Below are 22,469 nucleotides of genomic sequence, written 5' to 3'. Positions count from 1 at the left end.
GCAGAAGCCCGAGCCCTGACCCACCGGCGGCTGCGGCGGAGCCGGTGAGTGACCCGTGGCCCGACTCGGTCCCCACCCTCCGCGACCTTCGCTCTCCCTGCCGTCCCCCGTAGCCTCCGTTGTCTCCTTGTGATACGGGACCCCCGTTATTTCCAGAGCTCCCCTTAATTTCTGGCAATCCCCAGAGCCCCCACAATCCTCGCAGACCCTGATCCCTAATATTTGATCGTTCCAGCTCTTCCAGTGATACAGGAGCTCCCACCTCACCATTATTCCTGGACATCCCTCTAAGGGCCCTTCTCATATCGGTCTTACAGACGCCCCGTTGCCCCCTAGAGCCCCTAGAGCGCCTCCTCTGCTCCAGATTCCCCCCTTCTTGCTGCATCCCCCCTTCCGCATCTCCTTATCTTCATGCATCTAAGACCCCCCCGAGGCACCCCCATCCTCCCTCCATTTCCTATCCTCCCGTGCCCCCATTCTCTAACTCCTGCAGACACCTCCTCTCCTCGCACTTTTCCTCCTTTCCTTCCATCCCTCCAGACCCTCCCCCAATTTCTATCAACTCTTCAGCGTGGCACTTCGCGCCGCGCGAAGTCCGAGCCAAGCGCTCAGCCGGTGTCAGCTACTCTTAGGCGCTTCCGACTTACCCGGGTGCCCGTCGCCCCCGCCCGCCCCCCGCCCCCACTCCTGCCCCCGGGGACTAAGGAGCTCTCGGCCCGGCGGTCTGGGAGAGGCGGCGGCGGGGGGACCCCGAACCCCAGCCAGCCCCGTGCGCCCTTTGCCCGCAGCGCCGGCGCCCCCCATGCGCCAGACGGCAGGACGGCGGCGTCGGGGGGCGCCATGGCCTCGGCGGCGGCGGGCGAAGCGGAGGAAACCACCCGGTTGCGCAAGCCGCGCTTCTCATTCGAAGAGAACCAGATCCTGATCCGCGAGGTGCGCGCCCACTACCCGCAGCTCTACGGCGCGCAGAGCCGTCGGGTGAGCGTGGCAGAGCGGCGGCGCGTGTGGGACGGCATCGCCGCCAAGATCAACGGTATCACCAGCTGGAAGCGCACGGGCCAGGAGGTGCAGAAGCGCTGGAACGACTTCAAGCGCCGCACCAAGGAGAAGCTCGCTCGCGTGCCGCACTCCACGCAGGGCGCCGGGCCCGCCGCGGAGGACGCTTTCTCCGCGGAAGAGGAGACCATTTTTGCCATCCTGGGGCCAGGTGTGGCGGCGCCGGGGGCAGGTGCTGGGGCGGAGGAGCCCCCTGCGGCCCCCTCTTCACAGCCGCCGCCCCCAAGCGCCTGCCCTCAGCGCTACGTGTTGTCGGAAGACCGCCGGGAGGACCGACGTGCAGGTGAGTGTCTTCAGAGTAGGCTGTGTGCCTGCGCTGTTGCAAGCCTTTTACATGTCTCATCAAAGCCTTGCTGCAGCCCTGTGAGGTGGATGCTGTCCTTCGCCCCATTTTATAGCTAGGGAAACTGAAGCTCAGAAAAATGAAATGACTTGCCTCAGTTCCGATAGCTAGTAACTGTCAAGAGCCAGGAATGGAACCAGATTTAGGAGGCCTGACTCAGGTCCACACCTGGGGTCATCAGCACAGGCAGGATTTCATTAAATGCAGTGTCGAGTAGTGACTCTGGAGGCAGGCTGCCTGGGCTCCGATCACAACTTTGCCACTGAACTGTGTCATCTGAGTAAGTTACTGTACTTCAGTTGCTGCATCTGTAAAATGGAGATAAAAATAGTCTGCACCTCAAAGCGTTGCTGTGAAGATTAAATGAGCTAATATGGGTAAGTTGCTTAGTTCAGCACCTCCTCAACTCTCATTGTTAGTTCTTGATAGAATCATCAATGCGGTAAGATGCATACTATTTCACTATTTCATAAATAAAAGACTCAGACATGTTTGGTAATTTTCCCAAGGTCATGCCTTGGATAGAGGTGTGGAGAGCTGACTACAGAAACTTCCTGCTTAGCCTTGATTCTGGATTATTTCTTCTACAGCCGTTCCCTGAGCACCTGCCCCATGCTCGATGAGGTTGGGGACACATGGATGACTGAGCCAGTCTAGTAGGGGGGTGGGGAAGACGGTGATGACTTGAGGGAGCAGGGCTGGGGTAGGGGATCCCAGGGACTGTGGGAGCCCAGAGAGGGTTTCTGATTTCGGTGGGGGGGGGGGTGGTCCAGGAGGGCTTCCTGGAGGAGGGGACATCAGAGCTGAGATGCAAAGAGTAAGAATGAAGAACTGGGAAAGTATTTTTGGTAGAGGGAACAGCATGTACAATGGCTTGGAGGCAAGAAAGCTTGGCCAGTTTGGGAAACTAAAAGAAGTTGCGGGGAAAAGAGTGTAGAGTGGAAAGGTTGAAGAAAAGTAACATTTTGAGATGAGTTCAGAGAGGTCAGCAAAGGCCAGACCATACTGGGCCTTTAGGCCAAGGTGAGGAGTTTGGATTTTATCCTGACTGCTATGAGAAGCCACTGAAGAGTTTGGAGAAGGGGAGGAACATGGGCATGATCAAACAAGACAGTTCAAGATTATGTGATTCAGAGAGGTTCATTCACCCACCCAAGGTCACACAGCAAGTAAGTGACAGAGTCAGGACTCAAGCATAAGTGTGCGTCCAACCCCCAGTCCATGGCACTTAACCACTGAGCAAGATTGCCCAGCAATAACAAGAGTTAATATTGACCAGGAGTTAATGAGTGTGCCAGAATTAGATTACACGTGGCTTGGAAGTCAAGGTCAGGAATTTGGACTTACTATTTTTTTTGTTTTGTTTTTTGTTTTGAGACGGAGTCTTGCTCTGTTGCCCAGGCTGGAGTGCAGTGGCGAAATCTTGGCTTGCTGCAACCTCCGCCTCCCCAGGTTCAAGTGATTCTCCTGCCTCAGCCTCCTGAGTAGCTGGGATTACAGGTGCCTGCCACCATGCCCAGGTAATTTTTGTATTTTTAGTAGAGATGGGATTTCACCATGTTGACCAGGCTGGTCTGGAACTCCCGACCTCAGGTGATCCACCCACCTCGGCCTCCCAAAGTGCTGGGATTACAGGCCTGAGCCACCACGCCCGGCCTGGACTTGCTCTTGAGGGCATTCAGGAGGCATGAAAATCTCCTAAGCAGGAAGGTGACACAATCACATGGGACCCTTGTTCTCAAACCTTGAATCAAACCTCAGTGTTTCCATCTGTGAGATGGCCCCATAGGACCAGAGCAGAGATGGCCAACTTATTTTTTCAGAAACTTGTTACCACTTCATTCACTCGTTTAGCAAATATATATTGAGAACCTCATCCAAGGCAGACGCTGTGGTAGGTGCAGGGAATAATGTAGAGAAAAAGACAAAATCCCCTTCCCTTATGGAACCGACATTCTTTTTTTGTTTGCTTGTTTGTTTGTTTGTTTGAGACTGAGTTTTGCTCTTATTGCCCAGGCTAGAGTGAAATGGCGCAATCTCGGCTCACCGCAACCTCCGCCTCCCAGGTTCAAGCAATTCTCCTGCCTCATCCTCCCGAGTAGCCGAGATTACAGGCATGCGCCACCATGCCTGGCTAATTTTGTATTTTTAGTAGAGATGGGGTTTCTCCATGTTGGTCAGGCTGGTCTCGAACTCCCGACCTCAGGTGATCTGCCCGCCTTGGCCACCCAAAGTGCTGGGATTACAGGCGTGAGCCACCACACCCGACCTGGAGCTGACATTCTATGTAGTTGGAGGAAACAGACCACAAAGAAGTCCCAAAACAGACTGTATACCAGGAGGTGGTGAGAACTAAGAGGATAAATAAGTCATATTCAGAGGATGGTGAGTCATGGAAGGGGGCTATACAGACAGGGTAATCAGGGAGGGCTTCTCTGAGAAGGTGAAATTCAAGTAGAGATGGGAATAGAGTAGGCCTGACAGACATCTGGGAGAAGGGCACTCCTGCTAGACTAGAGGAAACAGCACGTGCAAAAGCTCTGAGGCAGGAACACGCGTAGAGCATCCTCGATTAGAATCTTACACAGGCCTGGCCAGGCACGGTGGCTCACGCCTGTAATACTAGTTCTTTGGGAGGCTGAGGCAGGTGGCTTACCTGAGGTCGGGAGTTCGAGACCAGCCTGACCAACATGGAGAAACCCCGTCTCTACTAAAAATACAAAATTAGCCACGCGTGGTGGCGCATGCCTGTAATCCCAGCTACTCAGGAAGGCTGAGGCAGGAGAATCGCTTGAACCCGGGAGGCAGAGGTTGCAGTGAGCCATGATCGCGCCATTGCACTTCAGCCTGGGCAACAAGAGCAAAACTCAGTCTCAAAAAAAAACAAAAAAAAGAACCATACACAGGCCTGGCATGGTGGCTCACGCCTGAAATCCCAGCACTCTGTGTAGTACCAGCTCACACACTCATTTACAAGTAGGGAAACTGAGGGCCAGCTGCGGTGGCTCATGCCTGTAATCCCAGCACTTTGGGAGGCCAAGGCGGGCGGATCACCTGAGGTTAGGAGTTCAAGACCAGTCTGGCCAACATGGCGAAACCCCGTCTCTACTAAAAAATACAAAAATTAGCTGGACGTGGTGGCACACGCCTGTAGTCCCAGGTACTCAGGAGGCTGAGGCTGGAGAATCACTTGAACCTGGGAGGTGGAGGTTGCAGTGAGTCGAGATTGTGCCACTGCACTCCAGCCTGGGTGACAGAGCGAGACTCCGTCTTAAAAAAAAAAAAAAAGAAAAGAAAACAAGTAGGGAAACTGAGATCCAAAGTTTGCAAATAAATATGATTTTAACTTTTAAACAGTGGAAGCCAGGCACAGAGGCATGCCTGTAATCCCAGCACTTTGGGAGGCTGAGGTGGGAGGATTGCTTGATCCCAGGAGGGCAAGACCAGCCTGGGCAACAAAGTGAGACCCCATCTCTACAAAATAATCCAAAAATTAGCCAGGCATGGTGGCCGGCGCCTTGGTCCCAGCTACACATGAGGTTGAGGCATGAGGATCCCTTGAACCTGGGAGGCGGAGGTTGCAGTGAGCCATGATCGCACCACTACACTCCAACCTGGGCAACACAGTGAGACCCTTCCTCAAAACAACCAAAAACAAACTCTTGCAGGGGCACTGCTGTGACTCCTGTGAGCCTTGTGGGCATGAAGGCTGGGCTACTTTCTGTTCCTTTTTACTCAGTAGACTGGAAAAGCCACGTTTCTGCAATTCCCACGTTCCTTATAAGGAAGATTTGTCACTCACACCCCAGGCCCACAGCCCTTGCCCAAGGAATGGTTAGGAGCATGGACTCTGGCCTGGTGTGGTGGCTCACACCTGTAATCCCAGCACTCTGGGAGGCCGAGGTACACGGATCCCTTGAGGCCAGGAGTTTGAGACCAGCCTGGCCAATGTGGTGAAACCTTGTCTCTACTAAAAATACAAAAATTAGCCAGGCATGGTGGCATATGCCTATAATTCCAGCTCCTCGGGAGGCTGAGGCAGGAGAATTGCTTGCACTGGGAGGTAGAAATTGCAGGAAACTGAGATTACGCCATTGCACTCCAGCCTGGGTGATGGAGTGAGCCTCTATCTCAAAAAAAAAAAAAGGCCATGGACTCTGGCCAGGAGCAGTGGCTCACACCGGTAATCCCAGCACTTTAGAAGGCCAAGGCGGGAGGATCATTTGAGGCCAGGAGTTTGAGACCAGCCTGGGCAATATAGCGAGGCTCCCATCTCTATAAAACAAAAGAGGCCGGGCGCGGTGGCTCACGCCTGTAATCCCAGCACTTTGGGAGGCCGAGGCGGGTGGATCATGAGGTCAGGAGATCGAGACCATCCTGGCTAACAAGGTGAAACCCCGTCTCTACTAAAAATACAAAAAATTAGCCGGGCGCAGTGGCGGGCGCCTGTAGTCCCAGCTACTCGGGAGGCTGAGGCAGGAGAATGGCGTGAACCCGGGAAGCGGAGCTTGCAGTGAGCCGAGATTGCGCCACTGCAGTCCGCAGTCCGGCCTGGGCGACAGAGCGAGACTCCGTCTCAAAAAAAAAAAAAAAAAAGAATGGACTCTGGAGTCAACCTGGGTTCAAATCCCTTTTCTGCATATCACTCTATGACACCTCTCTCTGAGCCTCAAATCACCTCATCTATAAAATGGGGCGATGATCATGGTAGCACCTACCCCAGAGAATGGCTGGGAAGACTAGGTGGAATCACTTAAGAGGGGAGCTTAGCCCAGGGCCTGGCGGGAGCAGGTGTCCTGTCACTGTCCGCTCTACTCATCTGTCTCCCAGCCTCCCTACCTCCTGCTGGTGGCTGGCCCAGGGAGGCTGGACTCCCAGCAGTCAGGGTAGGAGGTGGCTGATTTGTTTGCTTGCTTGTTTGTTTTTGAGACAGGTTCTTGCTGTCGCCCAAGCTGGAGTGCAGTGGTGTGATCTTGGGTCACTGCAACCTCGGCCTCCAGGGTTCAAGCGATTCTTGTGCCTCAGCCTCCCAAGTAGCTGGGATCACAGGCGTGCACCACCACACCCGGCTAATTTTTGTATTTTGAGTAGAGACAGGATTTCACCATGTTGGCCAGGCTGGTCTCAAACTCCTGACCTCAGGTGATCCGCCTGCCTGGGCCTCTCAAAGTGCTGGGATTACCGGCTGAGCCACCGCACCCGGCCTGGATGGTTGGTTTTTTGTTTTTGTTATTTTTTTTTTCTCTATCTTCTCTCTTTCTTTGGCTGGCTGTTTTTGAGAGAAGAGCAGGGTGATCTGATTTGGCCAAGGAGCAGGAGGCCAGCTTCCCCGAGGAAGGAACATCCAAAAAAACATCCAAGCTGATGCAAGAGGCAGTGTGAGCCTGGCCCAGGGAACGACATGTGGGAAGACAGGCGGAGTTGGGGGCAAGTGCTGAGGCCCCATAGCCGTGGGAAGAGGCTGGACTTTCTCCTGTGGGTGCTGGGCACTCTGGGGCCTGGGACCCAATCAGCGCTGAGTCTCTGGAAGCCCCAGTTCTTTTCTCGTTAAAGAAAAAATGTTGTGCTGGACATTGTTCTAGGCGCCGGGTAAACAGAAGGGAGCAATACAAAGCCCTGCCTGATGGAGCTGACATCAGGAGGAGGAGACAGACAGCAGACACAGAGCCATACCGTGCCAGGTGGAGATAAGTGCTGGGAGAGGAATCAGGTAGGGTTAGGGGAGAAAAAAAGAAGGAGATGGGGCCAGCCTGAGCAACATGGCAAAACCCTGTCTCTACAAAAACAAAACAAAAATTAGCCAAGCGTGGTGGTGCACACCTGTAGTCCCAGCTATAGCTACTCAGGAGGCTGAGGTGAGAGAATCGCTTGAGCCCAGGAGGCAGAGGTTGTAGTGAGCCGAGATTGCACCACTGCACTCCAGCCTGGGCGACAGAATGAGAGTCCGTCTCAAAAAAAAGAAAAGAAGTAGGCCTGATGTGTTTGAGGATCAGCAAGGAGGCCACCGTGGCTACAGCCAGGTAACCCAAGAGGGAGGGATGGGAGCTGAGGTCAGGAAGGCAATGGGGGAAGATCGTGCAGGGCCCTAGAGGCCTCAAGGACTTTGCTTTTACCCTGAGTGAGGTGAGAGCCACAGGACGGTTTGAGCATAGAAACAATATCTGACTTGTGTTTTTTTAAACAATTATATTGCAATATAAGGCCGGGCGCAGTGCTTACACCTGTAATCCCAGCACTTTGGGAGGCTGAGGTGGGTGGATCACGAGGTCAAGAGATCGAGACCATCTGGCCAACATGGTGAAACCCCGTCTCTACTAAAAATACAAAAATTAGCTGGGCATGGTGGTGTGCACCTATAGTCCCAGCTACTCAGGAGGCTGAGGGTGGAGAATTTCTTGAACCCTGGAGGCAGAGGTTGCAGTGAGCCGAGATCGCACCACTGAGCTCCAGCCTGGGCAGCTGAATGAGACTCCATCTCAAAAAAAAAAAAGAAAAAAGAAAAAAATGTATATATATATGGCGATATAATTTCCACACTATACAATCACCTCAAAGTGTACGATTTGCTTGAGACCAGGAGTTTGAAACCAGCCTGAGGAACATAGTGAGACCTCATCTCTACAAAAAAATAAAATTATCCTGGTGTGGGGTCGCACCTCTGTGGTCCCAGAAGCTCAGGAGGCTGAGATGGGAGGATCGCTTAAGCTGGGGAGATTAAGGATGCAGTGAGCCGAGATCTCACCTTTGCACTCCAGCCTGAGCGAGAGAGCAAGACTGTGTCTCAAAAAAAGATGAAAATTAAGGCCAGGCACGGTGGCTCACGCCTATAATCCTAGCACTTTGGGAGGCCAAGGCAGGTGGATCACAAGGTCAGGAGATTGAGACCATCCTGGCTAACATGGTGAAACCCCGTCTCTACTAAAAATACAAAAAAATTAGCCGGGCGTGGTGGAGGGCACCTGTAGTCCCAGCTGCTCGGGAGGCTGAGGCAGGAGAATGGTGTGAACCCAGGAGACAGAGCTTGCAGTGAGCCGAGATCACACCACTGCACTCCAGCCTGGGCGACAGAGCGAGACTCCGTCTCAAAAAATAAAAAATAAATAAAAATTAAAAATAAAGTGTACAGGATCAGGCGCGGTGGCTCATGCCTGTAATCCCAGCACTTTGGGAGGCTGAGGTGGGCAGATCACGAGGTCAGGAGATCGAGACCATCCTGGCTAACACAGTGAAACCCCGTCTCTACTAAAAATACAAAAAATTAGCCGGGCGTGGTGGCGGGCGCCTGTAGTCCCAGCTACTCAGGAGGCTGAGGCAGGAGAATGGCGTGAACCCAGGAGGCGGAGCTTGCAGTGAGCTGAGATCGCGCCACTGCACTCCAGCCTGGGCGACAGAGTGAGACTCCCATCTCAAAAAAAAAAAAAAAAAGTAAAATAAAATACAGCGTACAATTCAATGGCTTTTAGTATATTCAGAGTTATGCAACCATCACCACGATCAATTTTAGAACATTTTCATCACTCCAGAAAGAAACCCTGCACCTCTTAGCCATCCCCAATCTCCCATCTTCCCTGTCTTCCCCCAGCCCCCGGCAGCCACTCATCTACTTTCTGTTTCTATAGATTTGCCTTTTTTTTTTTTTTTTTTTTGAGACGGAGTTTCGCTCTTGTTGCCCAGGCTGGAGTGCAATGATGCAATCTCAGCTCACTGCAACTTCTGCCTCCCGGGTTCAAGCGATTCTCCTGCCTCAGCCTCCTGAGTAGCTGGGATTACAGGCATGCACCACCATGCCCAGCTAACTTTGTATTTTTCGTAGAGACAGGATTTCTCCATGTTGGTCAGGCTGGTCTCAAACTCCCAACATCAGGTGATTTGCCCACCTCAGATCCCAAAGTGCTGGGATTACAGGCGTGAGCCACCACACCCGGCCTATTTTTATTTTTGAGACAGAGTCTCGCTCTGTTGCCCAGGCTGGAGTGCAATGGCACGATCATGGCTCACTGCAACCTCCGCCTCCCGGGTTCAAGCGATTCTCCTGTCTCAGCCTCCCCAGTAGCTGGGATTACAGGCATATGCCACCATGCCCGGCTAATTTTTTGTATTTTTAGTAGAGATGGGGTTTCACCATGTTGACCAGGCTGGTCTTGAAGTCCTGACCTCAGGTGATCCACCCGCCTCGGCCTCCCAAAGTGCTGGGATTACAGGCATGAGCCACCACATGCGGCCAAATTTGCCTATTTTGGACATTTCATATAAATGGCCCCTGTGATCTGTGGTTCTTTGTGACTAGCTTGTTTCCCGTAGCCTAACTGACTTGTATTTTGGTTGGACCCCTCAGGCTGCTGGTGGAAAAAGATACTGTCAGGGACAGGGGTGGAAGCAGAGAGCCCTCAGGGAGGCGATGACTGCAGTGGTCCTGGTGGGAGATACTGGTGGTTGGGCCAGGGTGGGGGACCAGGAAGAAAGAAGTTGTATGTATTTAATTTGAAGGCAGAGACGATAGCTTCTGTATGTGGATGGTGTCTTAGTAAACAAAACAGTGAAGGTGTTTAACCTGAGCAGCTGGGAGGATGGAGCTGCATCAGCTGAGATGGGGGTGGCTGAGGAAGGAGCAGGGTGGGGGAGGATCAGAAGCCCAGCTCCGAGCAAGTGAGTTTGGGGCGTTTTTCGACAATTGAGAGTACACAGCTGGAGACAGGAGTCTGGAGCCCAGGCGAGAGGTTCAGGCTGAGCCCAGGAAGCTGGGAGCCCCTGTATGCAAACTGTTCAAGCCCATGAGCATGAATGAGACCCCAGGTGAGTACAGACTGAGGAAACCTACCAGGCTGGGGGCTGAACTGGAAAATCCTGCTGTCCTGGTTGGAGAGAGTCTCAGGGAAGTGTCCACCAGTGCCCAGACACCCCAGCTCTCTCCCAGACCTCTCTCTCACTTCCTCAGGATCCAGCAGTGTGGTGCAGTATCCATATAGTTCAGAACCTCGTCAAATGTTGGCCCTTGTCCGAGCGCAGTGGCTCACACCTGTAATCCCAGAACTTTGGGAGGCCGAGGTGGGTGGATTGCTTGAGGTCAGGAGTTTGAGACCAACCTGGCCAACATGGCAAAACCCCATCTCTACTAAAAATACAAAAATTTAGCCAGGCGGGGTGGCGCCTGCCTGTAATCCCAGCTACTTAGGAGGCTGAGGCAGGATAATCGTTTGAAGCCGGAAGACAGAGGTTGCAGTGAGCCGAGATCACGCCACTGCACTCCAGCCTAGGCTACAAAGTGAGACTTTGTCTCAAAAAAAATTAAAAAAATAAAAAAACTGTTGGCTCTTACTGTGAGTGAGATGGGAGCTGCCTGGCCTAGCAAGGGACTTCCAGGACCTGTTTCCACTAAAGCTGGCAGGACTTTTTCTCCTCCGGGTACAAAGACTGGCCTGCCATGGAGCTTCTCTTCCAAGGCATGATCTGACTTAGGTTTTAAAAGGATCATTCTGGGGCCAGGCGCGGTGGCTCACACCTGGAATCCCAGCACTTTGGGAGGCCAAGGCGGGCGGATCGCCTGAGGTCAGGAGTCCGAGACCAGCCTGGCCAACATGGTGAAACCCTGTCTCTTATTAAAAATAGAAAAAGTAGCCGGGTGTGGTGGCGGTCACCTGAAATCCCAGCTACTCGGGAGGCTGAGGCAGGATAATCGCTTGAACCCAGGAGGTGGAAGGTGCAGTGAGCCAAGATTGCACCACTGCACTACAGCCTGGGTGACAGACCAAGACTGTCTTGGGGCTGGGGGGCGGGGGTGAGAAGGATAGTTCTGGGTTCGGGTAGGGGGGAGGTGAGGGAAGGAGTGGGAAAGGGGAAATCAAGGCAGCATCGAGGGTCGCTCACCCCTTACCTGTATTTCTCTCTCTACAGATACATCAGCCCACAGCAAGGCGGGCTCCAGCAGCCCGGAGCCATGGGCCCGGCCCTCCTGCACTCCCCAGGAAGGGGGCTGCCCACGGCCCAAGGAGCGTGAGTCACCACCCCCTTCGGCCCTGCAGCCGGTCCAGCTGCCTCGCCTGGCCTTGTCTCCACCACCCCCAGCCCCTCCACTGCCACCCCCACCGCCACTGGCCCAAGTGGCACCCTCACCCCCTAGCCCCCCACCCCCTCCTCGGCCTCCACCCACGCTCTCGGCCTCAGACCCCTCCCTGGACTTCCTGCGGGCCCAGCAGGAGACTGCCAACGCCATCCGGGAGCTGGCCGGCACCCTTCGACAGGGACTGGCCAAACTGAGCGAGGCCCTCAGCGCTCTGCTGCCCCTTCTGCCAGGAACCCCAGTTGACTCCCTGCCTCCACCTCTGCCCCCACCCCCACCCCCACCGCCACCTCCCAGGCCTGTCCTGCCCCCACCGGCCCCCAAGGTGGAGATCACCCCAGAGCCCGTGTCCGTGGTGGCTGCTGTGGTGGACGGGGCAGTGGTGGCAGCCAGGGGAGTGATCATTGCCCCAAGGAGCGAGGAGGGGGCACCCCGGCCCCCCCCAGCCCCGCTCCCTCCGCACGACTCCCCCCCACACAAGCGGAGAAAAGGTTTCCCTACACGGAAAAGGCGCGGCCGATGGAAATCTCCGTGAAATCTACTATCTATGATCCTGCCTGCAACCCCTCTCCCCAGCTTGGCGCAGTCGAGGGGGGCGATGCTCTCTGCCCATCCCAGCTGCACCCTAGCTCCCTGCTCCAGGGATGTGAGCACCCACTCCCTGTGCTAGTTAGTGCCTGATTCTCTGGGGGGGGCCTCAGTAATGGGCCCCCCCAACCCCTTTCTCTGGTACAGTGCTGTCTGCCTGGCTGCCTCCCTTAACCCTGACTTCTAAGCCATCAATTTCATGTTATTTATTATTGCCCTATGTGGGGTGGGGAGGGAACCTCTCGGGTCTGCACATCTCCCCTTCCCTAACAGTTCCTGTTCTTGACTTGAAGAGAATTGACCCGTGGGGGACTCCCCACCTCCCCAACCCAGACTTTGGAGCGGGTGGGAGTTGTAAGACAAATCAAAATACGGATGACAAAGAGGATATAGCCGTGTATACCCCAGGGAGAGGAGGCGCCGAGTTCTGATGGGAGAGGTACAGGTTGGGTTCTCTGCCTACCATTGCTGTCTCTGACTTCCAGAGCTCAACCCCCTCCTTTCTCCCAGTGGTGACAAGATATCAATAAACTTATTTTTAATACAATTACTTGAGGCTCTGTCTGAGACAGGCCTGGGGGACCAGCACCTACACCTGCCCCGCCCCCTCCACAGGCAGGCAATTGGGAGGCTGGTGGTTTTCCAGCTTTTTTTTTTTTTTAATTCTTAAAGCCATCAAGTCTTGTGTTTACATGAAATCTTATTCCTACTCTTCCTTTAGATACCAGTCTAAATGTCAACTCCAGGAGAAAGTCCTAGATTCCTTCCCCAAGGCTAACGTGGGTTTGCCTCTTAGAGTCTCTTTCAGTGTCCTGTGGTTCTTTTTCTTTTTCTTTTCCTTTCTTTTCTTTTCTTTCCGTTTTTTTGAGATAGGATCTCGTTCTGTTGCCCCAGCTGGAGTGCAGTGGCATGATCACAACTCACTGTAGCCTCGATCTCCCAGGCTGAAGCAATCCTTCTGCCTCAGCCTCCCAAGTAGCTGGGACCACAGGCATGTGCCACCATGCTCAGCTAATTGTTTTATTTTTCTAGAGATGGGGTTTTCTATGATGTCCAGGCTGATCTGGAACTCATGGGCTCAGGCAGTCCTCCCACCTCGGCCTCCCAAAGTGCTAGGATTACAAGCATGAGCCACCACACACAGCTGGGTTCTTTTTCATAGTGACTCTAAATGAACACAGGCCTTTATCTATTTAAGGCACATTTGCCCATAATGTCATGAAGGCAGGAACTGGTTCTTTTACTCTGCTGCAGGGCCAGGTAACAAAGTAGATAATCACCACCACTCTGGACTCAAGACGTGGCTCAAGTACTGGTGCTGCCCTGGCCAACTGTGTAACCATTGGCTTCCAGTGTCCTCATCTGTAGAATGGACATAAAGATGTCAGAGTCTTTCTTCCTATAATTAGATTATACTTTTCTTTTTTTTTTTTCTTTTTTTGAGGTAGAGTCTCCCTCTGTCGCCCAGGCTGGAGTGCAGTGGCGCGGTCTTGGCTCACTGCAACTTCTGCCTCTCGGGTTCAAGTGATTCTTCTGCCTCAGCCTCCCAAGTAGCCGGGACTACAGGCGTGTGCCACTACACCTGGCCAATTTTTGTATTTTTACTTATTTAGTTAGTTTTTTGTTTTTTTGTTGTTGTTTTTTGGTTTTTTTTGAGACGGAGTCTTGCATCTGTCCCCCAGGCTGGAGGTGCAGTGGTGTGAACTCATCTCCTGGGTTCATGGAATTCTCCTGCCTCAGCCTCCTGAGTAGCTGGGATTACAGGTGTGCGCCACCACACCTGGCTAATTTTTGTACTTTTTAGTAGAGATGGGGGTTTCACCGTGTTGGCCAGGCTGATCTCGAACCCCTGACCTCAAGTGATAGGGCTCCCAAAGTACTGGGATTATAGATGTGAGCCACTGCCACTGTCCGGCCTAATTTTATTTATTTATTTTTTTTTTATTTTTATTTTTTGAGATGGAGTCTCACTCTGTCGCCCAGGCTGGAGTGCAGTGGCTCGATCTTGGCTCACTGCAAGCTCCACCTTCCGGGTTCACACCATTCTCCTGCCTCAGCCTCCCGAGTAGCTGGGACTACAGGCGCCCACCACCACACCTGGCTAATTTTTTGTATTTTTAGTAGAGACGGGGTTTCACCGTGTTAGCCAGGATGGTCTCAATCTCCTGACTTTGTGATCTGCCTGCCTCGGCCTCCCAAAGTGCTGGGATTACAGGCGTGAGCCACCGCGCCCGGCCCCCTAATTTTTTAATTTTTAGTAGAGACAAGGTTTCACCATGTTGGCCAGTCTGGTCTCAAACTTCTGACCTCAAGTGATCCGCCCTCCTCGGCCTCCCAAAGTGCTGGAATTACAGGCATGAGCCACTATGGCCAGGAAAGCTTTTCCTGACACACATTCCCCACCGCAGTCATCACAAATTTTAGTTCATCATTTGAGTAAATTTACTATCTGCCTCCATCACCAGGCTGGGGCTTCTCAGGGGCAAGGCTTAAAGCCTGTCTCAGTCACTGCTATGTCCCCAGCATTGCCCAGCATGGAAGAGGGGTTGAATATTTGAATAACTGTCCAGCTTAAAAACAACTTCCATTTGTGGCACTTATTTTCTGTGCCAGGCACCAAGCTAAGCATTTATATGCATGTTTGCATTCAATCTGAAGGTACCCAAATAAAAGGAGACTGGAGGGGGTCTCCATTTTTTCCAAGAAGTTTAGAAACTGGCCCAAGGCCACAGCTGGTCAGAGGCCAATCCAGTCCACCTGAAGGCTGAATCTGGCCAGAAGCCTTAACTCCCATTAGTGTTTCGTAAATAATAGCCCAAAGGCAACTTTAAGTGACATATTAATGTCCTCTTGAATGAGTCGATAGTTTTCACTAATTTTTTTTAAGGTAACCACAGTACATGAAACCCATGATTGTGAACGTATTACCTAGGATGAGGCAAAAATAGATAAATCTTTTTATTTTTATTTATTTTTTTGAGACAGGATCTTGCTCTGTTGCCCAGGCTGGAGTGCAGTGACGCAATCATGGTTCACTGTAGCCTGTTATCTCCAGGCTCAAGCAATCCTCCCACTTCAGCCTGATAAATCTTTTTTTTAAGGGAGAAAAGTGTTCAAATACAGGTAGTAGACAAAATTGTGAAACCATTTTAAAATTGTGAGGTCTGGGTAACAGAATCAGAGCTGCTGCGGTTCCAGTGGGACGGGAGGAGAAGGGACAAGCAGCCCCTCACTAGACAAAACCAGGGCCAACTGGTACGTCATTCAAATATTTTTGAGCACCTAACACGGACCCAGGCCTAGAGAAAGGGGCTGTTGTGGGTTGGAACCTGGAGACCCGCCTCCGCCCTTCCCCAAAGACAGCCTCGTCCAGTTCCCAATGCCTGGGAAAGAAGAAGGGTCCTCACAGCCTGATTGGGCCTTCCAGGTAGTGAGCGCTCAAGGTTGGGGAAAGGTTGGTCTGGTGTTTGCCCTTCCCCAGCAACTCCCTCCTCTTGCCCGTCACTTCTTAACCCCTTACTCTTCCCTCAAACTGGGGAGCAACAGAAGATAAGGGTCCCCCAAACGCCACGCTCCGAATGCACGTAAAGAGCCCCCAGAAAAGTGGGGGGGCGGGGGGTAGCCGGGAAAGTAGCGTGAATCTGGAAGGCCTCCCCAAACCTCCCAGAGGGCGGAAGTGCGTCACTATGTCCGACCCGCAGTGCATTTTGGGAATTGTAGTGAAGCGGGTGGGGGACGCCGAGCCCCCGATGGTGTAACCCTTTAGAGACCAGAGCGCGCGGGCAGAGCTGGGACAGGGTTAGAGGGCGGCCAGTCGCCCCACTCTTTTAGCAGAGAAACAACTGAGACAAGGCTCTGGCTCGGAAGCCCTTAGTCCTCTCCCTTCTCTGGCTGTGGCGGGCCCCAGAAGCATATATCTAGGATTCCGGGGGGAGGACGAAGTGCCAGGTGGCCACCCCCACCCCCACCTAGTTGCCAGCTTCCCGTCCCTGCTCTGAAGCCAATCAGGGCTTCTCCGCCCCGCCCCAGAAGCTGCTACTTTCCTAATCCGTCATTGGCCCACCTTTGCTGGGCGGGGAAACTGAGGTTCAGAGAGGGCAAGACATTTTGCCTAAAGCTGCACAGCAAATCCGAGCAGAAGTTGGAAGCCCGGAAGCCTGTCCACCCACCCCCACAATTTCTGAATCCGGAGTAGCTCTGATCATTTGTATTGCATCCTCGCCTACCACCTTTGTGTCCCAGCATCTTGCGGCGCGCTGAACTCCGGCCCCACGGAGAAGGTTGTAAGGTTTGCGCCGGCAGAGGCGACAACCCCCCCAGCCCGCGTCTGCCCGCCGTTCCCTTTAAGAGCCGGCCCCGGCGGGACTACGTTTCCCAGAAGGCTTTGCAGGCGTGTTATGTAACTTTCCCTGCGAAGCGGCCTCTGGGGCAGAAGAAGGAGGTGGAGGCGGCGGCGGCCGTTGCAGCGGCGGCGGCGAGAGCGGCGGGAGCCCGAGGCGGCGGCGCTCGCGGCCCATCGTGGGGCCCGAGCTGTGCGCCTCGGCTCGGAGCCCGGACCGGGCGGGGGCGCCGACGTGCCTCAGCCTGCCTTCGCGAGGGAGGCGGGAGTGAGCAGAAAGGCTTAGGGCCCAGGGGGCGGGGAAGGGGGGCCGGGCCTGGATCCGGCGGGGAGGCCGAGCCGGAGGCCGGACCGTGGCTCGCGCTGTCCCCGGGACGCGGATCGAACGTTGGCGGCGCGGATCGCACGTCGGCGGCCGGTGGAACGCGGGAGCTGGGCGGCGCGCGGACTGGGGCCATGGCGTCTGTGCAGGCGTCCCGCCGCCAGTGGTGCTACCTGTGCGACCTGCCCAAGATGCCGTGGGCCATGGTGTGGGACTTCAGCGAGGCCGTGTGTCGCGGCTGCGTGAACTTCGAGGGCGCGGACCGCATCGAACTGCTCATCGATGCCGCCCGCCAGCTCAAGCGCAGCCACGTGCTCCCCGAGGGCCGCTCGCCCGGGCCCCCGGCCCTTAAGCACCCGGCCACCAAGGACCTGGCGGCGGCAGCCGCACAGGGGCCCCAGCTGCCGCCCCCGCAGGCCCAGCCCCAGCCGTCAGGGACCGGCGGCGGCGTGTCGGGCCAGGACCGCTATGACAGGGCCACATCATCAGGCCGCCTCCCCCTGCCCTCGCCCGCCCTGGAGTACACTCTGGGGTCCCGCCTGGCCAATGGGCTGGGCCGTGAGGAGGCCGTGGCTGAGGGGGCGCGAAGGGCCTTGCTTGGCTCCATGCCTGGCTTGATGCCCCCTGGGCTGCTGGCAGCTGCAGTGTCTGGCCTGGGAAGCCGAGGCCTGACGCTGGCACCCGGCTTGAGTCCTGCCCGTCCCCTCTTCGGCTCCGATTTCGAGAAAGAGAAGCAGCAGAGGAATGCGGACTGTCTGGCAGAACTGAACGAGGCCATGCGAGGCCGGGCAGAGGAATGGCACGGGCGCCCCAAAGCAGTGCGGGAACAGCTACTGGCGCTGTCCGCCTGCGCCCCGTTCAATGTGCGCTTCAAGAAGGATCACGGGCTGGTGGGGCGAGTGTTCGCCTTCGATGCTACTGCCCGTCCTCCAGGATACGAGTTCGAGCTGAAGCTCTTCACCGAATACCCCTGTGGTTCCGGCAATGTGTACGCCGGCGTCCTGGCAGTGGCTCGCCAGATGTTCCACGATGCTCTGCGGGAGCCGGGCAAGGCACTGGCTTCTTCGGGCTTCAAGTACCTCGAATATGAACGCCGGCATGGATCAGGAGAATGGCGGCAGCTGGGCGAGCTGCTTACCGACGGCGTCCGCAGCTTCCGCGAGCCAGCTCCCGCGGAGGCCCTGCCCCAGCAGTACCCAGAGCCGGCCCCTGCGGCTCTCTGTGGCCCACCCCCGCGAGCCCCATCCCGGAACCTGGCGCCCACGCCGCGCCGTCGCAAGGCATCCCCCGAGCCGGAGGGCGAGGCGGCTGGGAAGATGACCACCGAGGAGCAGCAGCAACGGCACTGGGTGGCACCCGGCGGCCCGTACTCCGCTGAGACCCCTGGTGTGCCCTCGCCCATTGCCGCCCTGAAGAATGTGGCCGAAGCCCTGGGCCACTCACCCAAGGACCCTGGCGGAGGCGGGGGGCCTGTGCGTGCAGGGGGCGCCAGCCCTGCAGCCTCCTCCACGGCCCAGCCGCCAACCCAGCATCGCCTTGTGGCCCGCAACGGCGAAGCAGAAGTCAGTCCCACAGCGGGGGCCGAAGCTGTCAGCGGGGGTGGCAGCGGCACTGGGGCGACCCCTGGGGCCCCCCTGTGCTGTACCCTGTGCAGGGAGCGGCTAGAAGACACCCACTTCGTCCAGTGCCCCTCGGTGCCCGGACACAAGTTCTGCTTTCCCTGCTCCCGGGAGTTCATCAAGGCGCAGGGCCCGGCCGGGGAGGTGTACTGCCCGAGCGGAGACAAGTGCCCGCTGGTCGGCTCCTCCGTGCCCTGGGCCTTCATGCAGGGCGAGATCGCCACCATCCTTGCTGGAGACATCAAAGTTAAGAAAGAACGGGACCCCTAGGCTACCACTGCCTCCAGGCTACTGCCCTCTGCCCCTTTGCCACCCACCGCTGCCGCGGATAAATTATTCCCTCCCCGACCCAGCCCAGTGCCACCTCTATCTGTGTACATACTCCCTTCTTCCACCCAGATGGGTCCCCTGGGGTAGATGCATTGTGGGTGGGGGGAGAAAGCTTGTGGCTCCTGTCCGAGGGGGTGTTTGGGGTCCCTTGGCCCCTCCAGTTTCCCTCTGTCCTCCTTGGCTTGGCTTTGCTGCTGCTTGTAGTTGGGGGAGAGGTGCCCCCCTCCTCCTTGAGAAGGGACCTCCTGAAAACTCGCTCTTTATAAACGAGGCAAAAGCATTTAATTCCCACCCCCCCACCCCCCGCTCCCTTCTGCTCCTTCAATAAACCGAAAGATGGGTTTTTTTTTTCCTTCTTGGTCCCTTAGTTGTGTGAGATGCTGCGCCCCCTTTGGGACTGAACTGGTCCTGCGAGGGCGAGGACGTTGCGCGGTAGCCTCCAGGTGGCGCCCTGCACCCAGGCGGTCCCGCCGGCCGACCTTCAACAAGTGCGACCCACTGGTCACGTTTCAGCCATCGGCCCGTTTTCCAGATAAAAGTACTGAGGCTCAGAGAGGGGATGGCTCCTGCAGGGGAGCCACAGACAGGCTTGGGAGTAGATTACCCTTCTGTAGCTGACCCATCCCCTATCTCTACCTGGAAGGTGGAGGACTCAGCGCCTACGTGGGGAGGGGAAAGAGGCAGCGGGAGGCTTCCTAGAAGACATGGGCAGTGGGTTCTTGCCGGGTAGAAGGGAGAATTTAGGGTAGACTGCTAGAGGGACTGCCCGAGGAAAGAGGAAATTTACCTCCACGGGGTAAACTAACAGGATGCCTAGAAACAACTTGGCTACTTCTTGCCTCTGGCGGTGCCCCAGAGGCGGACGTTTGGGAAGCCCCAGCTGGATTCCTCACCCTCGTCTTGGGAGACAAGCCCCTTTGGCGGCCACCCTAGAGAGCAGAGTGAAAGGCACTCGCTCCGCGGCTGCTTCTGATGTGCGCGGCCTTGTCCCGCACCTGTCCGGGTGGCTGATCATTAACCAGGACTTCCTGCTCGCTGGCGTCACGGGGCGGGGCCTGAGCGGGCTGCGGCAAAGCAGGGGTTAAGGGGAGGGGGCGGCCCCAAGAGCCCAGCCCCCACCCCTGCGGCCTCCCCGGCCAAGCTAAGGTGGAGATTCCGGGAAGGGGGAATGCGGGGCTCAGAGGCCCGCGGATGGACAGAGAGATAGGGAATGATTGTCCAACCACCACCCAGCACTGTCAGACAGCTCTGGGATCCAAGTTTGCCCCCAGATGTCCTCGGGAACCCAGGGTTCCCATCACCTGAATCTGGAGGCCCCTAAAGTCCTGACCCATCAGCTCGGTTACCCAGGGGTCCCACCCATACTTGCATACCTACATGTCCTAACTCCCAGATATTAGGGATCCTAGGGCTTCAACCTTCGCATCTGGAGGACCCTCTGTTCTTGGACTGAGGGGTCCCATCCTTCCCCACCCCCCAGCCGTCAGCTCTCAGGTGTTCTGCCACCCCTGGCACTGCCAGCCTGGGCTCAGGGCAGGGCTGGGAAAACCACCCCTGATTAAATACACCAGGTGATAAGCCTGGGGCAAGAGAGACCTGGATGGAGCTCCTGTGCCTGGGCTCCCCTCCCAGGCAAGCCTGTGGCTTCCCCTGACCCAGCTCTGCAGACCCAAGTGCCGGGTATCTCCCCCACCCCCAAATCTTTACAGCTGGAGGCCTCCAGACACCTGGCTCCTATGTCCCAGCGGGAGCTAAATTGCTGTGGAGGACACCTGGTCCTTTAAGAACAGCTGGTAGGTGGGTGGGGGGCAGGGGAGTCACCCCCAGCCTGGCTGGTGTGTATTCTAGATAGAGGTTGAGTTAACCATTAACAGAGCAGAAGGCCTGACCTGTGTGGGTGTGGGGGCTGGATCAGCCCCCCTTCCCCCAGTGCCAGGGTGGGGCCAGGGTGGAGGGGTTCTGGATTTATTTGGGAATCAGGAAGCAGGTAGAGAGACTTGGAGATAGGGGAAACGCAGAGAGACACTCAGGGAATGATGGGAGACAACAGAGGTGGGGAGGGAGAGATGCAGAGACCAGCTCACTGAACGAGACAAGGAGACGCAGAAGCCGGAGACCCAGTGAGACAGGGAGAGACTCCAGAGAGCCTCAGAGATGAGGCAGACACAGAGAAGGAGAGACAGAAAAGAAAAGGAAATGGACAATATTCTGATGGGTTGAGCGAGACTGAGATGTACGGATGAGCTGCCAACAACAGAGATGCAAAAGAGGGGAGACTGAGATGCAGAGAGAAGGCAATAAAGAGATGAAAAAAAAAGGAGAGATGAGAAAGACTGAAATCAGGAAAAGGCACAGGTGTGAACTAGAGTGATGACATCATCAAACTCGAAAGTTCTGTGAGACAGGCAGGGAACTGGAGGAAGTGCAAGGTTGGATCTGTTTGGGTCATTTAGTCCCCAGTCAAGGCACCTCCTCCAAGAAGCCTGACCCCCAGGCTGCATCAGCTGCCATTTCTGCACCCCACATATCCCTCTGTGCTCCCCCAATCCCAGCCCTGTCCATTCTGGAGTGTTGCTGTCTGGCAAGCAGACTGTGAGCCCCAAAAGGGCAAGGCCAGGGCTGTCTTGATCACCACTGCGTCCCCAGCATCACCCAGCACAGGGTCAGCTTAAGGGATGGATAGATTAATGGACTGCTTCTCTTCCTCAACAAGTGTTTATTCAGCATCCACCATGTGACAAGCACTGGGGGAGATAATGTGGATGGAGCAGGAAACAGAATCCAGCCCCTGCTCTCATGGAGCTGGCATTCAGGTAAGAGATGGAAACAGGACCATAAAATGTGACAGCCAGCCGGGCGCAGTGGCTCACGCCTGTAATCCCAGCACTTTGGGAGGCCAAGGCGGGCAGATCACGAGGTCAGGAGATCAAGACCATCCTGGCCAACACGGTGAAATCTCGTCTCTACCAAAATACAAACAATTAGCCAAGCGTGGTGGCACACGCCTGTAGTTCCAGCTACTTGGGAGGCTGAGGCAGGGGAATCACTTGAACCCGGGAGGCAGAGGTTGCAGTGAGCGGAGATCATGCCACTGCACTCCAGCCTGGTGACAGAGCAAGACTCTGTCTCAAAAAAAAAAAAAAAAAAAAAAAGACACTTAGAATGGTCAGTCCTAAGAAGAAAAAATAAACCAGGGAAAGGGGATAAAGAGTGATGGGGGTTTCTATTTTACTTTCTTTTTTTTTATCTTAATAGAGATGGGGTTTCACCATATTGGCCAGGCTGGTCTCAAACTCCTGAGCTCAAACGATCTGCCCGCCTCAGCCTCCCAAAGTGCTGGGATTACAGGTGTGAGCCACCGCACCCAGCCGGGGTTGCTATTTTATTTTATTATTTATTTATTTTGAGACAGAGCCTCGCTCTGTCGCCCAGGCTGGAGTGCAGTGGTGCGATCCCAGCTCACTGCAGCCTCCACCTCCCGGGTTCAAGCAATTCTCCTGCCTCAGCCTCCCGGGTAGCTGGGACTAGAGGCACGCACCACCATGCCTGGCTAATTTTTGTATCTTTAGTAGAGATGGGGTTTGACCATGTTGGCCAGGCTGATCTCAAACTCCTGACCTCATGTGATCTGCCTGCTTCAGCCTCCCAAAGTGCTGGGATTACAGGCATGAGATACCGTGTCCAGTTGGGGTTGCTATTTTAGAAAGGGATGTAGGGAAGAGCTCACTGAGCACGTGACACTAAGAACTGAAGGAGGGGAGGGAGTAAGCCAGCAGAAATCTGTGTAAATAGCACCTGCAAAGGTCCTGAGGTGG

At 55.3% G+C, this 22,469-nt stretch overlaps 2 protein-coding genes across 4 annotated transcripts, besides 12 other annotated features; both read left to right on the top strand.

The window, feature by feature from the left end:
• On the top strand, positions 1-12,591 carry MYPOP (Myb related transcription factor, partner of profilin). 3 transcript variants are annotated; one of them, XM_047438749.1, is made up of 4 exons: positions 1-44; positions 789-1,339; positions 10,335-10,444; positions 11,291-12,591. In XM_047438749.1, the coding sequence occupies exons 2-4, from the start codon at positions 841-843 to the stop codon at positions 11,651-11,653; spliced, it is 972 nt and encodes a 323-aa protein (XP_047294705.1). In that variant the 5' UTR covers positions 1-44; positions 789-840; the 3' UTR covers positions 11,654-12,591. The 3 variants fall into 3 exon arrangements, with proteins under 3 accessions (XP_047294705.1, NP_001012661.1, XP_047294706.1); NM_001012643.4 differs by lacking the exon at positions 10,335-10,444; XM_047438750.1 differs by lacking the exons at positions 10,335-10,444; positions 11,291-12,591 and adding an exon at positions 6,982-8,145.
• Positions 189-238: an enhancer, noted in NCBI's record as "active region_14829". NCBI's record gives its function as "activates an Ori minimal core promoter by ATAC-STARR-seq in GM12878 lymphoblastoid cells {active_cell/tissue: GM12878}" and the evidence as "EXISTENCE:reporter gene assay evidence [ECO:0000049][PMID:35858748]".
• Positions 15,649-15,698: an enhancer, noted in NCBI's record as "active region_14828". NCBI's record gives its function as "activates an Ori minimal core promoter by ATAC-STARR-seq in GM12878 lymphoblastoid cells {active_cell/tissue: GM12878}" and the evidence as "EXISTENCE:reporter gene assay evidence [ECO:0000049][PMID:35858748]".
• Positions 15,759-15,998: an enhancer, noted in NCBI's record as "active region_14827". NCBI's record gives its function as "activates an Ori minimal core promoter by ATAC-STARR-seq in GM12878 lymphoblastoid cells {active_cell/tissue: GM12878}" and the evidence as "EXISTENCE:reporter gene assay evidence [ECO:0000049][PMID:35858748]".
• Positions 16,149-16,298: an enhancer, noted in NCBI's record as "active region_14826". NCBI's record gives its function as "activates an Ori minimal core promoter by ATAC-STARR-seq in GM12878 lymphoblastoid cells {active_cell/tissue: GM12878}" and the evidence as "EXISTENCE:reporter gene assay evidence [ECO:0000049][PMID:35858748]".
• Positions 16,459-16,938: a silencer, noted in NCBI's record as "silent region_10803". NCBI's record gives its function as "represses an Ori minimal core promoter by ATAC-STARR-seq in GM12878 lymphoblastoid cells {active_cell/tissue: GM12878}" and the evidence as "EXISTENCE:reporter gene assay evidence [ECO:0000049][PMID:35858748]".
• IRF2BP1 (interferon regulatory factor 2 binding protein 1) lies at positions 16,473-19,006 on the top strand. Its single transcript, NM_015649.3, has one exon. It carries the CDS (start codon positions 16,840-16,842, stop codon positions 18,592-18,594), a length of 1,755 nt encoding a protein of 584 aa, NP_056464.1. The 5' UTR covers positions 16,473-16,839; the 3' UTR covers positions 18,595-19,006.
• Positions 16,979-17,218: a silencer, noted in NCBI's record as "silent region_10802". NCBI's record gives its function as "represses an Ori minimal core promoter by ATAC-STARR-seq in GM12878 lymphoblastoid cells {active_cell/tissue: GM12878}" and the evidence as "EXISTENCE:reporter gene assay evidence [ECO:0000049][PMID:35858748]".
• Positions 18,508-19,059: an enhancer, noted in NCBI's record as "H3K27ac-H3K4me1 hESC enhancer chr19:46386813-46387364 (GRCh37/hg19 assembly coordinates)". NCBI's record gives its function as "activates a minimal SCP1, AML or CMV promoter by ChIP-STARR-seq in primed H9 embryonic stem cells {active_cell/tissue: H9 hESC(primed)}" and the evidence as "EXISTENCE:reporter gene assay evidence [ECO:0000049][PMID:30033119]".
• Positions 19,060-19,611: an enhancer, noted in NCBI's record as "H3K4me1 hESC enhancer chr19:46386261-46386812 (GRCh37/hg19 assembly coordinates)". NCBI's record gives its function as "activates a minimal SCP1, AML or CMV promoter by ChIP-STARR-seq in primed H9 embryonic stem cells {active_cell/tissue: H9 hESC(primed)}" and the evidence as "EXISTENCE:reporter gene assay evidence [ECO:0000049][PMID:30033119]".
• Positions 19,292-19,391: an enhancer, noted in NCBI's record as "active region_14825". NCBI's record gives its function as "activates an Ori minimal core promoter by ATAC-STARR-seq in GM12878 lymphoblastoid cells {active_cell/tissue: GM12878}" and the evidence as "EXISTENCE:reporter gene assay evidence [ECO:0000049][PMID:35858748]".
• Positions 19,595-19,739: an enhancer, noted in NCBI's record as "145 bp enhancer 100 fragment used in the MPRA reporter construct; PK_construct_218". NCBI's record gives its function as "activates an SV40 promoter by MPRA in HepG2 cells {active_cell/tissue: HepG2}" and the evidence as "EXISTENCE:reporter gene assay evidence [ECO:0000049][PMID:23512712]".
• Positions 19,661-19,674: a transcriptional cis regulatory region, noted in NCBI's record as "HNF1 motif; enhancer activity is reduced when this motif is scrambled". NCBI's record gives its function as "necessary for full MPRA enhancer 100 activity {active_cell/tissue: HepG2}" and the evidence as "EXISTENCE:site-directed mutagenesis evidence [ECO:0005528][PMID:23512712]".
• Positions 20,164-20,716: an enhancer, noted in NCBI's record as "H3K4me1 hESC enhancer chr19:46385156-46385708 (GRCh37/hg19 assembly coordinates)". NCBI's record gives its function as "activates a minimal SCP1, AML or CMV promoter by ChIP-STARR-seq in primed H9 embryonic stem cells {active_cell/tissue: H9 hESC(primed)}" and the evidence as "EXISTENCE:reporter gene assay evidence [ECO:0000049][PMID:30033119]".

Source organism: Homo sapiens, chromosome 19 (assembly GCF_000001405.40).
Source record: "Homo sapiens chromosome 19, GRCh38.p14 Primary Assembly".
NCBI lineage: Eukaryota > Metazoa > Chordata > Mammalia > Primates > Hominidae > Homo > Homo sapiens.
The sequence above is the reverse complement of the archived record's forward strand: the minus strand, read 5'-3'. Positions and strand labels throughout refer to the sequence as shown.